The sequence below is a fragment of the Homo sapiens genome, chromosome 17, assembly GCF_000001405.40.
Source record: "Homo sapiens chromosome 17, GRCh38.p14 Primary Assembly".
NCBI classification, from domain to species: Eukaryota; Metazoa; Chordata; class Mammalia; order Primates; family Hominidae; genus Homo; species Homo sapiens.
In genome coordinates, this window is record NC_000017.11 from 20,120,020 (window position 1) to 20,139,211 (window position 19,192).

General features: G+C 42.3%; 1 protein-coding gene and 1 pseudogene across 26 annotated transcripts in view, besides 2 other annotated features; one reads left to right on the top strand and one right to left on the bottom strand.

Moving 5' to 3' along the window:
* Positions 1-19,192, top strand: part of SPECC1 (sperm antigen with calponin homology and coiled-coil domains 1) — a 309,668-nt gene that overhangs the window by 110,661 nt on the left and 179,815 nt on the right. For 2 of the 26 annotated variants that reach the window (NM_001386078.2, NM_001386080.1), the window contains one exon: positions 4,881-4,978. The exons of the other annotated variants lie outside the window; for them this stretch is intronic. In NM_001386078.2, the coding sequence (NP_001373007.1) occupies positions 4,881-4,978 (98 nt within the window). The remainder of the gene's footprint in view (positions 1-4,880; positions 4,979-19,192) is intronic. 26 annotated transcript variants of the gene reach the window in all.
* Positions 2,925-3,150: a silencer, noted in NCBI's record as "fragment chr17:20026257-20026482 (GRCh37/hg19 assembly coordinates)". NCBI's record gives its function as "represses an EF-1alpha promoter that drives an FKBP-Casp9 reporter gene in an ReSE screen in phorbol 12-myristate 13-acetate-treated (for megakaryocytic differentiation) K562 erythroleukemia cells {active_cell/tissue: K562(+PMA)}" and the evidence as "EXISTENCE:reporter gene assay evidence [ECO:0000049][PMID:32094911]".
* Positions 6,369-6,469, bottom strand: RNU6-258P (RNA, U6 small nuclear 258, pseudogene; annotated as a pseudogene).
* Positions 16,194-16,410: a silencer, noted in NCBI's record as "fragment chr17:20039526-20039742 (GRCh37/hg19 assembly coordinates)". NCBI's record gives its function as "represses an EF-1alpha promoter that drives an FKBP-Casp9 reporter gene in an ReSE screen in HepG2 liver carcinoma cells {active_cell/tissue: HepG2}" and the evidence as "EXISTENCE:reporter gene assay evidence [ECO:0000049][PMID:32094911]".

Genomic DNA, 19,192 nt, shown 5'->3' on the forward strand with positions numbered 1-19,192 from the left:
AAATCCAGAACACTTATGGTCCTGAGCATTTTGGATAAGGGATACTCACCCTGTAGTAATAAGCTTGGGTTTTAAAATCTCAGTACTGCCGGGTGGGGTGGCTTATGCCTGTAATCCCAGCACTCTGGGAGGCCGAGGCAGGCGGATCACCTGAGATATTTGGAGACCAGCCTGGCCAACATGGCGAAACCCCTTCTTTACTAAAAATAGAAAAAAATTAGCCAAGTGTTGTGGCGGGTGCCTGTAATCCCAGCTACTTGGGAGGCTGAGGCAGAAGAATCTCTTGAACCTGGGAGGTGGAGGCTGCAGTGAGCCGAGATTGTGCCACTGCACTCGAGCCTGGGCAACACAGTGAGACTCAGTCTCAAAAAAAAAATACAGTTGATACAAAGATGGAAATTATTTAGTGTGTTAGAAATTAGATGTTCACTGGACTTAAACCAATTTTCTATAGGCTCAGCTGTGAAGGAAAAGAATAAAATTAAAGGAAATTGGGGGACTTCTGGCAATATATAGTTGATTTCCTTTCAGAGGAAATTTCTTTTCACAGGAAATCAACTATATATTAGACTTGTAGGGGGCAGAATTCTTTTTATGCCATGCAAGACTTAGTTTTTGTACTTTTGACTTGGGGACAAGTTTTCTACGATGCATAGCATGGTATTATCTATATTTTATTTCAATTGTATTAATTTTGAGAAAGATTTTTGTCATGAAATTTTAATACAGTGTTGTGATTTTGAACTTACAAGAATTAAATCTATAGTCAGCCTATATTTTATTGCACCCTTTCCTGGGAGCTGATCTGTCCTCAGGGAGAATCCCTGAAATCTACTCCAGGAGAAATCATGTAATCTTTTGGTCGTAATAATTATATTATTGTCTCAGCCTTGCCTAGGGCGCCAACTTGCCATCTGTCATGGGTGGTATTGGAACTGCTTGAATGGGGAGGCATGAGCTTCCTCATTCTTTTCAAGACTATTTCCAGTTTCTGGTTTCCAGGCCTTATGCTGTTCTCTGGGGCTATGCCAAAGTTTGCTCCAACAATAGCAAGAACACAGCAAAAATCACAAAAGGGGCTTCTATTTTTGAGCCCTGCCACCTGCCTGCACTGTGCCGGCTTCTCTGAGCTGCTGTCTCTATTCATGCTCACAATAGCCATAGGAAGAGCATGGTTATTTTATCTAGACCAGGAACCTTGGCTTTGGAAAGGTCAAACCAGTTTTACTTTTTCTCTCCCGTGCCCACCACAGGTTTCCATATGGAACATCCACTTTTTCTAATTGGTTTTATTTCATTAATATTATTCACTTATCTGAATTCCAAAAAAGAATTCTGAATTCTTTTTTTTGTTGTTGTTGTTTTTTCTATAGACGGAGTTTTGCTCTGTTGTCCAGGCTGGAGTGCAGTGGTGCAATCATAGCTCATTGCAGCCTCCAACTTCTGGGCTCAAGCAATCCTCCTGCCCCAGCTCTCGAGTAGCTGGGACTACAGGTGCACACCACCGGGGTCTCGCCATGTTGCCCAGGCTGGTCTTGAACTCCTGGGCTCCTCCTGCCTTGGCCTCCCAAAGTGCTGGGATTACAGACATGAGCCACTGCGCCTGGCCTGGATTCCAGTTCTTATTATTCTTTTTCTCCCTGAGGTGTCCTTTGTGTGTATCTCATGTTACACAGTGGTGTGGCTTTTAGAGAATGAGGAGGTTCCTTGTGTGCAGGGTCCTCCCTGCCTGCCCCAGGGTCAAGTGAAAGGTTGTGGAACCCCCAGAAGGCTGTCAAGGAATCCAGCCACTAGGTGGCAGCCTTGTCAAAAGCACCCACCTTCTCCTCTGCTACAAGTTCTGGTTCTGACAAATGTTTCTGACTTTAGAAACAATGCTTGTATTTATTGATTAATTCAACAAATATCTTTGAGTGGCTACCATGTGCCTGGCACTGTTCTAGGCAAAAGGACTATATGAGTGAGCAGGACAAACATCCCTGCCTTCATAAAGGTACATGAGCAAGACGTGGGAGAGATGAGAAAGCCAGGTGAACAGCTGGAGTGGTGGACATTCCAGGCAGAGATGACGGCTGGCCCGTGTCCCCCACGTCAAGGGAGTGGCAGGAAGACCAGTGGGGCCGCAGCAGAGTGAACAAGCAGTTGGGGAGGAGGATAGAAAGATGGGGGAGCTTGCGAGTCACTGTCAGGACTTTGGATTTTTTACTCTTGACTCCACTGGGGAACTTTTGCAAGGTTTTGCACAGAGCAGTGATATGACCCAACCTCATTTTAAAAGGACTGCTTTGGGCTGCTTGTTGAGAGTGGACAGATGGGGTAAGCAGACCAGCTTGGAGGCTAGGGCTGTGGTCTAGGAAAGAAGTGACCTGGGCTGGGCTGGCAGCCATGGCACCGGGGAACAGCAGCTGCGTCTGGATATATTCTGAAGGGGAGAGCCAGCTGGCTCTCAACTTTCCTGGTTTTTGAATTGTGGAAAAATACACATAATCATTTTTAAGTGTACAGTTCAGCGGCATTAAGTTCATTCACATTGTTGTACAACCATCACCACCTTCCATTTCCAGAACTGTTTCATCTTCTCAAAGTGAAACTCTGTCCCCATTAAACACTCGCTTCCCATTCCCCTTCCCTCAGCTCCCGGCAAGCACCATTCTGTTCTTTGTCTCTGAATCTGACTGCTCTCAGTTCCTCATAGGAGTGGCATCACACAGTGTTTGTCCTTTTGCAACCGGCTTATTTCACTCAGCATAATATCCTCAAGGTACATCCACACTGTAGCATGTGTCAGAATTTCCTTCGTTTTTGAGGCTAAATAATATTTCCTTGTCTGGATATACCGTATCTTCTTTATCCATTCACCTGTTGAAGGACCCTTGGCCTATTTCTACCTTTTGGCTATTGTGAATAATGCTGCTCTGTACACAGGTGTACAGATATCTCCTTGAGACACTGCTTTGACTTTTTGAGGGTATATACCTGGAAGTGGGATTGCTGGATTCTCCTGATGGATTGTAAAGTTGGTGTAGGGTAAGATTTCTGCTCATGTTAGCAGTGGGATGAGTGAGATGAAATCTGATGGGCCTTCCCAAGGGATGAGGAGTGAACGTGGATCTCTTCTGGAGACAGCAGTCGGCTAGAAGGAGGTTCATGTAGCCACATTTAAAACATTTTTAAAACCACGAGACATGGAAGTGCCCATTTAGATGTTTCTTTATATAGCACACGTGGGATCCAAAGACATGTCACTATTTTAAACTGATATCAGTGTTTTCTAAAAGGCAAAATAAATGTGAAGGGCTAGTTTTACTGTGGCCAAACTCTGATGCTTGCAGAATCTCAGACATCTCAGATGGTGATCAGTAAGGGCAAGCAGTCGTGATTGGCTCACTGCCAAGAAACTGTCAGTGTCCTCGCTGATACCTGGACCCCTGCATGCTCCCAGTTACCTGCATCACAACCAGGTAATGCCTGAGGCTCCAACCTGAGACACCTGTCCTCTCTGACATGAGGAGGGAATAACTCTGTCCTCTCTGACATGAGGAGGGGAACTCGTCTAACATGGAAGGTAAGTATTCTTATCCCCATCTGACATGTGAAGAAGCGAAAGCTCCAGGATAGGTAGTGTTCCCAAATTCAAACCCAGGTCCGACTCCAGAGTTCTTTTTTCTGCTACTCTGTTTGTCTCAGGTAGGGAGACTTGTTTTCTTCCCTCATCATCTTTACCTGTTGTAGAATTACTATTACCGGTGACTAGCATTCTTTGCTCACTATGTGCTAACCACTGTTCTCAGTGTGCGATGAATATGGTCTCCTTTAGTCTTTACTACAGCCCTATGAAATAGTATCCTTATTATCATTCCCATTTTATAGATCAGGAGACTGAGGCATAAAGAGATTAAGCAGACTGTCCAAGTCCATGGGATATAAATATTGGTACCAGGACTTGCAGATTAGGAAACAGGGGCTGAAAGAAAACCATGGATGGGTTGGCTTGCTGGGGTGAGAGTGGAGGAAGGGGATGTTGGAAGTTTTGGAGTTGAGAGGCCGGAAGGTGGGTGGGTCAGTTTCTTGGATGCCACAGAAGGAGGAGGGCCATGAGCCAGGGATGTCAGGGAATGGGGAGAATGGGGTGGGGATGTGTAGATGGCAACAGGGAGGGGAAGAGGATGCCAGGTCCTGCTGTGTGAACTGCAGAAATGGAAGGTGTCTGTTTACAGTGGGGAGGGGAACAGACGGGGGGAAGCAACAGTCATAGGTATGAGGTACAGCGAGACCTTCAGTTTGGGAAATGTGAGAAAATGAACAGACTGGCCTTGGGAAGGCAGTGGTGGGATTCATCCAGCTGTGGAAGTGAGGGGACATTCAGAGAGCTCAGCCTATGGGAAATGTTGATTTCACTGTGAGTTCTGAAGGGCCCTGAAGAAGTGTTGGGGACTCAAGGGAGGGGCCTGGGGCAGGTGGGGCTGAATCGCTTTGGAGATGAGAACCTGGAAAATCACAGAATGCCAGGAATGAGTTTGTTCTTGTTTTCATAATTTTAGAGAGGTCATTTATCAATGAGTATATTTTGTGATAAAAAAAATTTCAGATTCGGTATAGATGCTCCTCCACTTACTTCATCGGTTACTTCCAGATAAACTCATCATAAGCTGCAAATATGCTAAGTTGAAAACACATTTAATGCACTTAACCTTCCGAACATCATAGCTGAGCCCAGCCTGCTTTAAACAGGCTCAGAACACTCATATGAGCCTACATTTGGGCAAAATCATCTAACACAGAGCCTATTTTATAATAAAGTGTTGAATATCTTACATAATTTATTGTATTAGATTGGTGCAAAAAAGTAATTGTGATTTTTGCCATTTTAAAAATTGCAGGCCAGGCGCGGTGGCTCATGCCTGTAATCCCAGCACTTTGGGAGGCCGAGGTGGGCGGATCACGAGGTCAGGAGATGGAGACCATCCTGACTAACACGGTAAAACCCCGTCTCTACTAAAAATACAAAAAATCAGCCAGGCATGGTGGTGGGCGCCTGTAGTTCCAGCTACTCGGGAGGCTGAGGCAGGAGAATGGCGTGAACCCGGGAGGCGGAGCTTGCAGTGAGCCGAGATCGCGCCACTGCACTCCAGCCTGGGCGACAGAGCGAGACTCCATCTCAAAAAACAAAAACAAAAACAAAACAAAACAAAAAAATTGCAGTTACTTTTCCATCAACCTAATTTACTGGAAGTGAAAAGCAGAATGGTTGTCTGGGCACTTGAAGTACAGCTTCTACTGAATGCGCGTCATGTTTGCATCACCTTAAGGTCAAAAAGGGTAAGTCACACCATCATAAGTTCGGAACTGTCTGTATTTTCATTTTCTTCTATTTTATTCTACATTTAATTCATTTTCACATTGTGGTAGGAGATCTACCCTCTGAACACATTTTTAAGCATGTAATTCAGGGGCAATGCTGCATAGCAGGTCCCTCAAGCTTACGCATCTGTACCCACTGAACGACTCCCTGTCGCACTGTCTGCAGCCCTTGGCAGCCACCACTCAACTTTCTGTTTCTGTGAGTTTGACTGTTTGAGATTCTGCATCCAAGTGAGATCATACAGTATCCTTTTGGGACTGGCTTATTTCCCTTAGCATAGTATCCTTCAGGTTCATCCACAATGGGACATGTGTCAGAGTTTCCTTCCTTTTAAAGGCTGAATAATATTCGATCGTCTGGATAGCCACACTTTGTTTATCCATCATACATGGATGGACCAGACTGGCTTTCAGCTTCTGGTGGTGTCTGAGGTAAACCCAGTTGTGAGGATGTTATGAACTCTGCACTAGTTAAGGTGCTGAATTCTAAGCTTGAGGACACACATGGTGGTGTCGTGGCCCTGCGTTTCCCGGGAGTACATGATTTAGTCAGGGCTTTGGAGTGGGGCCAAGGGTTTTCTGTGACTTTCTCTGTTGGCACAAGGTGCAGTGCTGGTTTGGGGATGGCAGCTCTCCTGGGTCCTCCCTGGGTGCCTGTGGTATAGACAGTGGGGAGCTCTCCCTGCACCTCCCCGAAGAATACTGACATCTTTGCCAACTCTTTCCATCCAGGTCCTGGCTGTCTCTCCAGTTCTCCATGTCCTCTCTTCCTTTTATTTGGGCTCTTCCCCTGAAGTTTGCTATTTCCTTTCTCCCTCCTTCCCTGCTCTCCTCTCCTCCTTTCCTTTTTGTTGAGTTTATACCTTTGTTTATGCCTTCCCTCCCTTCCTCTCTTCTTCTCTCCCTTCATTCCTTCCTTCCTTTTTGTTGAGTTTATGCCTTTGTTTTATACTTTTATTCCTATTGTGAATGGGATTCTTTATTCATTGTACTTTGTTCTTATTTTCTAACATATGGACTATTTCACGACTTTGAATGTCATCCTTACACAGGAACCATGCTAATCTTCTCTGCATCATTCCAGTTTTGGTATTAGCACTGTCACTGACTATATTTTCTAATTAGATACTTTAAAAAATATTTAGTTTGGAACTGGCTCGCTCCCTTACCATCCTCTCTTCTTAGCACTAATGGTTTTCAGTTGATTCTCAGGTGTCTTCCAAGCAGACAGTCATATCAGCTGCAGATAACAATGCCTTTTGTCTCCTCCATTCCAGGAGTTATTCTTTTATTTCTGGTTCTTGCTGTTTTGTGCATGTGTGACCCCAGTTGTGTTAAATGCTAGTGACATCTTGACTTGCTCTCACTTTACTGTGGGTGATTTTGGTGTTTTCTGATTAAATATGATGCAGAAAGTTGGCTTGGGGCTTTGTTTTACATGTTAAGTCTTCTCCTCCTATATTCCTTTGAGTTATTAGGATTTGGTCATGGCTTTTATTAAATGCCTTCTAGGCATGCTGTTATTACTTTGATTATTGCTTCTCTTTTTACCCTGGAGTCTCCTCCAGGAAATTAAAGTATGTGTGTATTTGGTCTCCTGGGTATTTCTTCCATGTCACATATGTTATCTCTGATTCTTGTGATCACTTTCATTCATGCTCTGATTTTTCAAAGTTTATCATCTAATGTGCTTTGCTTTGTATGTTTCTTTTCTTCAACTATTATGTTTTTAATCTTTAGTCTGATTTCTGTGCTTTCAAATTATTTCTTCATGACTTCTTGCTCAACTTTCATAGCTATCAAATCTTGAATTTCAAATGAGAATGCAAATTGCAGATTTTTTTGAAATCTCCCATTTCTACCAGTAACTTTGTTTCATAGGTGCATATTTACTTGGAATCCTCAGCTGCTCCCCCTTTTATGATCTGCCAGAGCTTTCCAGATAGATCTAGAGAGTTTTCTGTGATCACCTATCTTTACAGAGGGAAGCTAGTATTGGTCCAAAAATCAGAAATTGAGAGGGATACTACTGGAGAATGTGTGGTTATCAGGTCATCTTTTTTTTTTTTTTTTTTTTTTTGAGACAGACTCTCACTCTTTTGCCCAGGCTGAAGTGTAGTGGCGTGACCATAGCTCACTGTAGCCTGGAGCTCCTGGGCTCCAGCAGTCCTCTTGCCTCAGGCTCTCAAAGTGATGGGATTATAGGCGTAAGCCACAGCGCCCAGCCAGGTCATATCATTTACGCTCTGTCGAAGGAAGAGGAAAAATTTTTGCATTATCTGGGGTGAAAGTAAGGAGGGCATTAAAGCCTGAAGTGCAATTTTGCCATTTTTTTCTTTTCTATGTATTTTGTTTTTGTTGTTCTCATTGTTACTTTAGTGCCTGTTGGAAGGTGGCCTTGTCCTCCCCTTCTGCTTGCATGATGGCCCCTGTTCTTATCAGCTGGCCATGGCTGTTTCCCTTGTGTGGCCTTCTGTGCATGCAGGCAAGGAGAAGGGAACACTAGCAGGCCTTCTGAAGCTGCTCATGGCAGAGGCCTCAACTTAGTAGTCCAGTTACCCTTTTAAATGATGACGATTCTGTAATGTGCCCTTTAATATCCTAAAATGAAATTCACCAGTCCATATACATTACTGAAAAAAATCAATATAATGCTGTACCTATAATGTAGAGAAGAAATAAAAGGCAAATAATTTCTAATGAAGTGACATATCAGTGTGTAAGTGCTGGAGCCTGACTCCACTAGAAGACAGATGCTTGTACATTAGTGGAGATTGCTGCCTTAAGCTTGAATGCTACAAATGAGACTGACTCATGGGTGCAGTGTTGAGAATTCAAATACCAGGCGTGTTGACATCAGTGACTTTGAAATGTTGACAGCTCAGGGTAAACATTTTGAATAAAGCAAAGTACTGTCTTTCCTTAAGTTACATGATAGTTGCATTCCTAGAAAATTCAGTGTATAATAGCAATGCTGTGTGAAACTGCTTTGTGTTTCTCTGTAAAACAGAGTTAGATTCTGGATGTAGGTATTTATAACTGTGTTCTCCTATTCAGGAGTGCTGTCAGATCACAAGGAGGGAGCAGGAAGCAGGAAGCAGGCGTGCCCCTCATATTTGCAAGGCTTGGGGCAAGAGTGCAGCGGGGGCCATCTGTTTATTCACAATATTCTGATATAATTAAATATTCTAGTAAAGGAGATCAAGTGTCAGGGATTTCAGATGACCTGGTAGCTTGTCGATCTAATGACAATAATTTTCTTACTCATTTTCATCTTTTTTTTAATCAGTAATGGGTGAATTTTGTGTGGTGAATTTTATTTTTTCTTCCCAGCTTCCCCCAAGTTCTACTTTAGTATTTTCTCATTTTTATCACTTTGAAATTTGTAATTCTTCTCAAAGGTTAAAAAAATTAATGATATTCAAATATAATTTTAAAATAATTTTTCTTCAAAATAGAAATTAAAGTCAATATAAAGGGTGAAATATATTTCATATTTTTAAATTTTTTAATTTAATTTTTTATTTTTAGAGACAGCGTCACACTCTGTAACACAGGCTGGAGTGCAATGGCATGATCATGGCTCAGTGCAGCCTCAAACTCCTGGCCTCAAACGATCCTCCTGCCTCAGCCTCCAAAGTTGCTGGGACTACAGCCATGCGCCACCATGCCTGGTTAATTTTTTAAATTTTTTTGTAGAGACAGGTGCTCACTATGTTCCTGGGCTGAAGCCATCCTTCCATCCTGGCCTCCCAAAGTGCTGAGATTATGGGTGTGAGCCACTGTGCCTGGCCTGTTTTGTTTTTTTTTGTTTTTTTTTTTTGAGACGGAGTCTCACTCTATCACCAGGCTGGAGTGCAGTGGCACCATCTCGGCTCACTGCAAGCTCCGCCTCCCGGGTTCAAGCCATTCTCCTGCCTCAGCCTCCCGAGTAGCTGGGGACTACAGGCGCCTGCCACCACGCCCAGCTAATTTTTTTGTATTTTTAGTAGAGACGGGGTTTTACCCCGTGTTAGCCAGGATGGTCTCAATCTCCTGACCTCGTGATCTACGCACCTCGGCCTCCCAAAGTGCTGGGATTACAGGTGTGAGCCACCGCGCCCAGCCAGATTTCTTTTTTTTTTAGCTGTTGAATTTTGTGAGTTCTTTATATGTACTAGAAACTAGTTCTTTATTGGATATGTGGTCTGCAAATATGTTCTTCCAGTCTCTCTTTTATCTTTTCAACCTTATAACAGGGTCTTTCACAGACCAAAAATTTTAAATTTTGATGAAGTCCAACTTGCTAATTTTCCCTTCTATAGATTGTGCTTTTGATGTCAAAATTCTTTGCCTAGAGCCAGTTTTGTTGTTGTTGTTGTTGTTGTTTTGTTTGTTTGTTTGGTTGTTTTGAGACAGAGTCTAACTCTGTTGCCCAGGCTGGAGTGCAATGGCACAATCTTGGCTCACTGCAACCTCTGCCTCCTGGGCTCAAGTGATTCTCCTGCCTCAGCCTCCCAAGAAGCTGGGATTATAGGCTTGTGCCACTGCGCCCAGCTAATTTTTGTATTTTTAGTAGAAACTGGGTTTCACTATGTTGCTCAGGCTGGTTTTGAACTCCTGACCTCAGGTGATCCACCTGCCTCAGCCTCTCAAAGTACTGGGAATACAGGTGTGAGCCACTGCGCCCAGCTGCCTAGAGCCACTTCTTTAAGATTTTCTCTTATATTTTTCCCGAAAGTCTTATAGTTTTACATTTACATTTAAGTGTGTTATTCATTTTTAGTTAATTTTTGCAAAAGTTGTGAGACTTGGGTCAAGGTTACTTTTGTTGTGGATGTCCAGTTGCTCCATTGTTGGAAAGGGTATCCTTTCTCTATTGAATCGCTTTTCTACTTTTGTGAAAATCAGTTGGGGCTGGGCGTGGTGGCTCACACCTGTAAGCCCAACACTTTGGGAGGCTGAGGCCAGAGGATGGCAGCCTGGACAACACGGCAAGATCCCGTCTCTACAAGAAATAAAAAAATTAGCTGGGTATGGTGGTGCACACTTGTGGTCCCAGCTACTTGAGATGCTGAGGTGGGAGGATTGTTTGAGCCTGGGAGGTCAAGTCTGCAGTGATATATAATAACGCCATTGCACTCCAGCCTAGGTGACAGAGCGAGACCCTGTCTCTATTAAAAAAGAAAATATCAGTTGGGCATACTTTTATTCTGGGTTCTCCATTTTGTGTTGTTGATCTATATGTCTGTCCCTCTGACAATGCCTCATACTGTTGATTATGGTAGCTTTGTAATGTCTTGAAATCAAGTAGACTGATTCTTCCTACTTTATTATTTTCCAAAATTGTTCTAGCTAGTCTAGTTCCTTTGACTTCCCATATAAATATACCTACAAAGAAATCTTCTGAGATTTGATAGTAATTGTGTTGAACCTGTAAATCAATTTGGGGAGAATTCACATGTTTTTACTATGTTGAATCTCCTAATCCATAAACATGGTATGGCTCTCCATTTATTTAGATCTTTGATTTCTTTCATCAGCATTTTGTAGTTTGCGGCATACAAATCCTATACCTGTTTTGTTAGATTTACACCTAAGTATTTATTTTTTATTTTTGAGGAATTGTAAATGATACTGTATTTTTAATTTTGGTGTTTGTGTGTTCATTGCTAGTATATTGAAATGCAATTGATATTTATATGTTTGCCTTATACCTTGCAACTTTGCTAAAGTCGCTTATTAGTTCTAGGAGGATTTTTTGTTTGTTTTAGATTCCTTGGGATTTTTCAATGTAAACAATCATGTCATCTACAAATAGGTACAGTTTTATTTCTTCCTTTTTCTTTTGAGTCGTTTTCTTCCTCTGTTGCCCAGGCTGGAGTGCAGTGGCATGATCTCGGCTCACTGCAACCTCTGCCTCCCAGATTCAAGTGATTCTCCTGCCTTAGCCTCCTGAGTAGGTGGGATTACAGGCATGCTAATTTTTTTGTATTTTTAGTAGAGACGGGGTTTCACCATGTTGGCGAGGCTGGTTTTGAACACCTGACCTCAAGTGATCCACCCACCTTGACCTCCCAGAGTGCCAGGATTACAGGTGTGAGCCACTGTGCCCAGCCAGGACAGTTTTATTTCTTCATTTCTGATCTGTATGCCTTTTATTTCCTTTTCATGTCTTATCACACTGGCTAGAAAGTTTAACACTATATTGAATAAAAGTGCTAACAGTAGACATCTTTGTCTTGTTCCTGATCTACGTGGAAAGCATTCAGTCTTCTTCTTTTTTTTTTTTTTTTTTTGCTTTTTTGAAGATGGAGTCTCACTCTGTCACCCAGGCTGGAGTGCAGTGGCACAATTTCGGCTCACTGCAACCTCTGCCTCCCGAGTTCAAGCAATTCTCCTGCCTCAGCCTTCCAAGTAGCTGGGATTACAGGTGCGCACCACCACGCCTGGCTAATTTTTTGTATTTTAGTAGAGACGGGGTTTCACTGTGTTGCCCAGGCTGGTCTTGAACTCCTGAGCTCAGGCAATCCCCGCCCGCCTTGGCCTCCCAAAGTGCTGGGATTACAGGCGTGAGCCACTGCATCCGGCCAAGCATTCAGCCTTTAACCATTAATTATGTAATGTTAGCTTTCGGGAGTTTCTGTAGATGCTCTTTAGCAAGTTGAGGAATTTCTCCTCTATTCCAGTTTTTCTAAGATTTTTTTTTTTCTGAGAAATGTCCCTCTATTCCAGTCTTTACCATGAGTGGATTTTGAATTTGTCTAATGTTTTCTCTGCATTGATAGATGTGATTATGTGACTTTTCTTAGCCTGTTAATATGGTAGATTACATTGACTGATTTTTCAGATCTTGAACCTGCCTTGTACCCTCTAAAGTCCACTTGGTCGTGGTATATGATTATTTTTATATATTACTGAATTCTATTTGCTAGTATTTTGTTAAGAATTTAAAAATCTGTATTCATGAGGGTCTGTAGTTTGCATTTTTTGTACTGACATTTTCTGGTTTTGGTATCAGGATAATACTACTTCATAAAGTAAACTGGGAAGTATTCCTAACTTTTCTTTTTTTCTGGAAGAAATTAGGTAAAGTTTGTGTTAATTCTTCGTTAAATAATTGGTAGAATTCTGAGTGAAATATTCTCTACTTAGAAGTTTGTTTGTTTGTTTGTTTGTTTTCATTTTTTTTTGGCTTTTTTTTTTGGTGTGAAAGGGTGAGTTTAAAAAAATTTCAAATTCAAATTTCCCTAATTGTTATAGGGCTACTCATATTACCTGCTTAATATTGAGTGAGTTGTATTTTTCAAGCAGTTGGTCCATGTCTTCTAAACTGTCAAATTTTATGTGTAGTTATTTATTTATTTATTTATTTATTTATTTATTTATTTATTTGTTGAGATGGAGTCTCGCTCTGTCACCCAGGCTGGAGTGCAGTGGCGTGATCTCGGCTCACTGCAAGCTCCACCTCCTGGGTTCAAGCCATTCTCCTGCCTCAGCCTCCCGAGTAGCTGGGACTACAGGCGCCCGCCACCATGCCCAGCTAATTTTTTATATTTTTAGTAGAGATGGGGTTTCACTGTGTTAGGCAGGATGGTCTCGATCTCCTGACCTCGTGATCCTGCCGCCTCGGCCTCCCGAAGTTCTGGGATTACAGGTGTGAGCCACCGTGCCTAGCCGTGTGTATAGTTATTCATATTATATTCCCCTTTATCCTTTTTGAGTCTGTGGAGTCTGTAGTGATATCCCCAGTTTCATTCCTGCCATTGGTAATCTGTATATTCTTTCTCTTTTTTTGTCAGAAGTTTGTCAATTTTATAATTTTTTTTCAGAACCAGCTATTTGTCTCACTCGTTTTTCTCTATTTTTTTTTCCCATTTCACCGAGTTCTGCTCTTCTTTATTATTTCCTTATCTGAAAAACAGAGCTAGTCTTACCCATCTCCTACAGTGTGAGAATTAAGTGAAATGACAAATACACGTACCTAGGACAGAAGCAGAAGTGTAGATTATTTTGTAAAATGTGATTTTTTTCCCCCTTGAACTAGCTCCCTTAATAGAATCTCCTACTTAGGAATCATGGCAGTTAAAAAAAAAGAATCTACCTGCCTTAGTGTGGTGTACCTTGCCCAGTGTTTCAGGCTTTGCTTTCTTAAGATTTTTCTTTTTTTTTTCAAAATCACACTTGACTCATGTTATGTCTAGATTTACATATACATAAATTTGAGAGGAATAAGAATAGTTTAGTATTGCAAACTACTCCTCGGCCACCATGGCTCCTGTTGCAAACACTGCAGGGATTCATGAATATTCCAGAACCACCTGTTGGGATGGAAAGAAAAAGAAAATGGAAAATGGAACTTGGCACCTCTGGCAAAGTGTAAGAATGTATTGTATTCATCCTATCTGAAACCAGTTTAACAGACTGAATCTTTTGTGTGATCTGTTGTCAAAGCCCCTCCCGGCTTTGCACTCCGTATTCCCAACCAGACCAGTCTCCACTGTGGGCAGTGGTACAACTCACAAACCCTCACAGCGTTCAGACGCACTCTTTTTTGTTTCAAGGACAAGGAAAAGAGATGTGAAGTGTTTCTTGGGGCCCAGATGGTGTTATTCATAACAGTTGATGGTTAGGGTTACAAGATTATATATTCCCATATAGAATATTCACACATTATATAAGTATTACTTCATATAATGTTTATATATGTTTAAATATAAACATATTACAAACATGTATATATTTATGTAATATAAATATAACAAAATATAGTATAAAATATATATTATATATTCCCTATGTATATATAATAAAGCCACACCTCCAATTTCAATCCAACCACTCAGGGTTCTTTCTAGCCTTGCCCCTTTCTCTGCTTGTAACCATCATCTCTGGTAGTAGTGAGAAACATGGCTGCCAGTATCCTCAATTTATGTACCTATTTGCTCAATATAACCAGTCTCAAATCCTTCTCCCACCTGCCACCTGCACCCAACTCCCCATTCCCCACCCTCCAGCCTCACTGACCAACCCACCCCTCTGCATGACTCCATAACATCCTTTCACTGCCCCATACTCAGCTCCCATGCTGACCCCTTGCCCTGGGAAGGGAAAAAAAATTGGGCACAGGAGCTTTTTAAAAATGGTATATTATAAAGCCAATTAAATGTGCTTCGTACTTCTAGTTGTTTGCATTATCAGAAAGCAAGATTTCCTGCTTTCTTTGTTGAGAAAGGTACTTCTTATTGCTTAGGAAAGTTTTGTTTTATTTTTTTGAGACAGGGTCTCACTATGTTGCCCAGGCTAGTCTCCAACTCCTGGGTTCAAGCCATCCTCCTGCCTCAGCCTCCAGAGTAGCTGGGAATATAGGTGTGAGCCACTGCACCTGACATGTTGCCTAGAAATGCTGAAATGGGGGTGAATGAGAAATGCTGTCCCTGCAGGTAACTTGGTCAGGTTCCAGTATCCCATACTCCCTTATGGAAGAGGAGAAAAGGGAAAGAATTGTAGGATCCCACCATATAACAAGTTTTATGTTCCAGAAGAAAGTTCTGCTTTTCTGGTTCTGTGTAATCATCACATTGGATGGAAGGGAAGCTGAAGGTCTTTCCACTGAATTCATGGAATATTAAAGTTCCAGTCCTTGAACTTGGGTGTGACCTTCTGAAATGTTCAAGTTTGTCAGTGGAAAACATGATCAGATCTCTTATGCTGCTTTTCCTGGCTGCTGACACACAGTAGATTCTCAGTGTTGTGTGTTCTCTTTTCCTGAAAGTTTGTGCATGTTACTGAGTTTGCCATTGAATTGTCTTTGTTTGCATATTGATTTCCACTTCAAAAAGTAGTTTAATACTGTGAAAGTACTGTTCCTAAGCAAATTACAGTACAGATGGTCAGAGTAGAAGTGTGTACTCTTGATACTTCCCTCTTCCCCCTCAACAGTGGAATCTTGCTGGGATTTTGTCAGTGCTGTTTAGATGGGACGTTTATCCTTATTTGATCAATCCCAAAAGGCAGCCCCTTTGTGGTAGTTTTATACTGTGAAAATTAGTTTTGGAACATTAAGCCAAGAAGTTTGCAATAAAATCAAATTTGTTTATGTATTCATTTGAGACAGGGTCTTGCTGTGTCACCCAGGATGCAGTGCAGTGGTATGATCATGGCCCACTGCAGCCTTGACCTCCTGGTCCCAAGTGATCCTCCCGCCTCAGCCTCTGGAATAGTCTGGATGGACCACAGGCATGCACCACCATGCCTGGATAATTTGTTATTTTTGTAGACAGAGTCTTACTATGTTGCTCAGGCTGGTCTTGAACTCCTGGGCTCAAGTGATCCTCCTGCCTTGACCTCCTACAGTGCTGGGACTACAGGTGTGAGCCACTGTGCCTGATCCCAACATACATTTAATAATCTACATTGCAGGGAATTACATTAGGAACCATGTGTGGGGGACCAGAAGATAAGACTTGCACGTAGTCAATGCAGTAATGAGAAGACCATAAGAAAAGTCTGTATAAGAGAGGGCATAGGCATGACTTTGTTCTGTCCTCTTGGCCACATCCTGGCTGTGTGACCTTAAGCAAATTAACCTACCAACTACAACCATTCCTTCTGTTGGGAGGAGCCAAATCTGTGGGAGTGGAAAAATCACTGAGAAGAAGCCAAACTCTAGGATGTTGCTGTAGAAAGGGCCTACACACCCTGCTGTAGAAAGGGTCCTAGAGTTTGGCTTATTTTGTGTACTGGGGATCACTATGTCTCCTTGCAAACCATTGCACTGGGCGCGGTGGCTCACACTTCTCACACTTGTAATCCCAGCACTTTGGGAGGCCAAGGCAGGCAGATCACGAGGTCAGGAGTTCAAGACCATCCTGACCAACATAGTGAAACCCCGTCTCTACTGAAAATACAAAAATTAGCCAGGCATAGTGGCGCACGTCTGTTAATCCCAGCTACTCAGGAGGTTGAGGCAGGAGAATTGCTTGAACACGGGAGGCGGAGGTTGCAGTTAGCCAAGATCACGCCACTGCACTCCAGTCTGGGTGGCAGAGCTAGACTCCATCTATTAAAAAAAAAAAAAAAAATCTGTCTTTTCAAACTCTAGTCTTTTATCAGGTAAACATTTTCTAAGTTTTATTCATTTTTTTTGGAACAAGTAAGACAGTTTACTTATTCAAAATGTAAAGGGTTACAGTGAAAAGTTTTGCTCCTGCCCCTTTGCCCAGCCACCAAGTTCACCCACCAGTGGTGGGGAATGTGGTATCTTTCTAGAACTATTCAGTGTGTCTGGAAGCAAAAGGATATCCTTTTACCTTTCTGTATGCAAATAGTAACGTAAATGGACACACCATTCTGCACGTGCGCATTTTCTCTTTTCAGTGTATTTTGGAAATCATTCCTATCATTCCATAAAGAACCTCCTCGTTCTGGTCCCCATCTCTCTGGCACTTGTTTTATGATTTCTCAGTGGTTACTGATAGCAGTTCACAGCCTCATTCCCAAGTTATCTCCGTGTTTGGGGTTTAATTTCCCTGGGCCAGGATATTTACATTCATGAGATGGTTTCCTTGGACTTTAGTTTCCTCCCACTAAGGTTTGAGCTACACTTTGCAAATGGGCAAAGACCATTTTTGGATGTATATGCCTGAGGGAAGACAGAAAAACAAAGCTGAAAGAGCATCCAGAGGGTTTGCCTTCACCATCGGAAACCACTCAGCTCCTTTTCAGGGCTAGCTTTTCAGACTGCTTTCCGAGATTTCTGCCCACTCCTGTTTGGCCATGGCCGTGTGCCCTATTTTCAGTTTCTATATATGCCCTCATGTTTTCCTGAGCACATCAAGAACGCCTGCACGGTTACACTGGTTTATTTAGGAACCGTCCCCTTTCTTCTTCAGTCTGTCAGTTACTCATTTGAGGTCAGACTCACAATTCTGCGAATGTCTTAGCCTCTTGGAGGAGCATCGTGTGTGATGTTGGACAAGCTGCTTAGTGTCTCTCAGCTGGTTTCCTCATCCATAAGATGGAGTTAATCGTGCCCATTACAGAGAATTGTGACAAGCAAATGAAATGACACATCTGCAGAACTAAGAGCAGAAACTGAAATATAGATATTTTTATAAAATGTGATTTTTCCCTCAAATAATCTTCTTTAACAGAATATCCTACTTAGGAATTATGGCAAAACAAAAACAAACTTAAAAAAATCCACCTGCCTTAGACTCTTGGTCATCTTTTAAGATTCTTCAAGTTTTGCTTTCTTTTTTTATTTCCTTTAAAAGGTTTTTTTAAAATTAAATCTTTATTTTATTTATTATTTTGTTTTTTGAGACAGAGTCTAACTCCATTGCCCAGGCTGGAGTGCAGTGGCACAATCTTGGCTTACTGCAACCTCTGCCTCCCGGGTTCAAGTGATTCTCATACCTCAGCCTCCTGAGTAGCTGGGATTACAGGTCCATGCCACCAAGCCCAGCTAATTTTTGTATTTTTTACTAGAGATGGGTTTTCGGCATGTTGACCAGGCTGGTCTCGAACTCCTGACCTCAAATAATCCGCCCTTCCACCTCCCAAAGTACTAGGATTACAGGCGTGAGCCACCGTACCCAGCCCTTTATTTTATTTTATTTTTATGCAACAGGGTCTCACTCTGTTGCCCAGGCTGGAGTGCAGTGGTGCAATCATGGCTCACTGCAGCCTTGAACTCCTGGGCTCAAGCAGCCCTCCCACCCCAGCCTCCTGAGTAGCTGGGACTACAGGTGGGCACCTTCATGCCCAGCTAAATTTTGTTTGTAGAGATGGGGTGTCACTATGTTGCCCAGGGTGGTCTTGAACTCATGTTCAATCAATGTTCCTGCTGTAGCCTCCCAAAGTGCTGGGATTACAGGCATGAGCCACCAGGCCTAGCTTGAGTCTTAATTTTTTTTTGGAGTTTCCATACACCCTCTGCCCCCACACATGTACAGCCTCTCCCATTATCAACATCCCCCACCAGCGTGGTACATTGACATGACAGATCATTGTCACCCAAAGTCCATAGTTTAAGTTTGGGTTCACTTTTGGTGGTGTACATTCTGTGGGTTTGAATGAATGTATAATGCCACGTATCGGCAATTGTAATATCACACAGAGTAGTTTCACTGCCCCCAAAATCCTCTGTGCTCTGCCCGTTCATCCCTCCCTCATCCCTAGTCCCTGGAAACCACTGATCTTTTTACTGTCCCATAGTTTTGCCTTTCCTAGAATGTCACATAGTTGGAATCATACAGTATGTCACCTTTTATATTGGCTTCTTTCACTTAGTAATACACATTTAAGTTTCCTCCATGTCTTTTCATGGCTTGATAGTTCATTTCTTTTTAGCACTGAATAATATTCCATTTTCTGGATGTACAACAGTTTATTTATCCATTCTCCTACTGAAGGACATCCTGGTTGCTTCCAAGTGTTGGCAATTATGAATAAAGCTTCTATAAATACTCGTGAAGCTTTGCTTTAAGATGACATGTTTTTTTCTCCCCAAGTTACCATCACTTATCAACCAGTTCTTTTTTGGTCAATATTAAATTTTTCCATTTTTGGCTCCAACTAGTAAAAATAGGGCCAGATTTTGACTAATAGATGAAAGAATATTCTGGTTAGCTGCAGCAATTCAGAGACAAGCATGTTGCTCCAGGAAGTAAGGAACTCCATGTGCTTGCTAGAGAGGTACTCATTCTCTACAAGTGGAGGAGCTATGGAGTGACAGGATTGGAAGACTTTCATCAAAGTCCTTTCCAACCCTGAAGGGGCTGCTATTAAGGTCAAAGACCTGTTCTTGGGTACATTTTCTTGTATCCTCCCATGTGGGAAGCTCTGT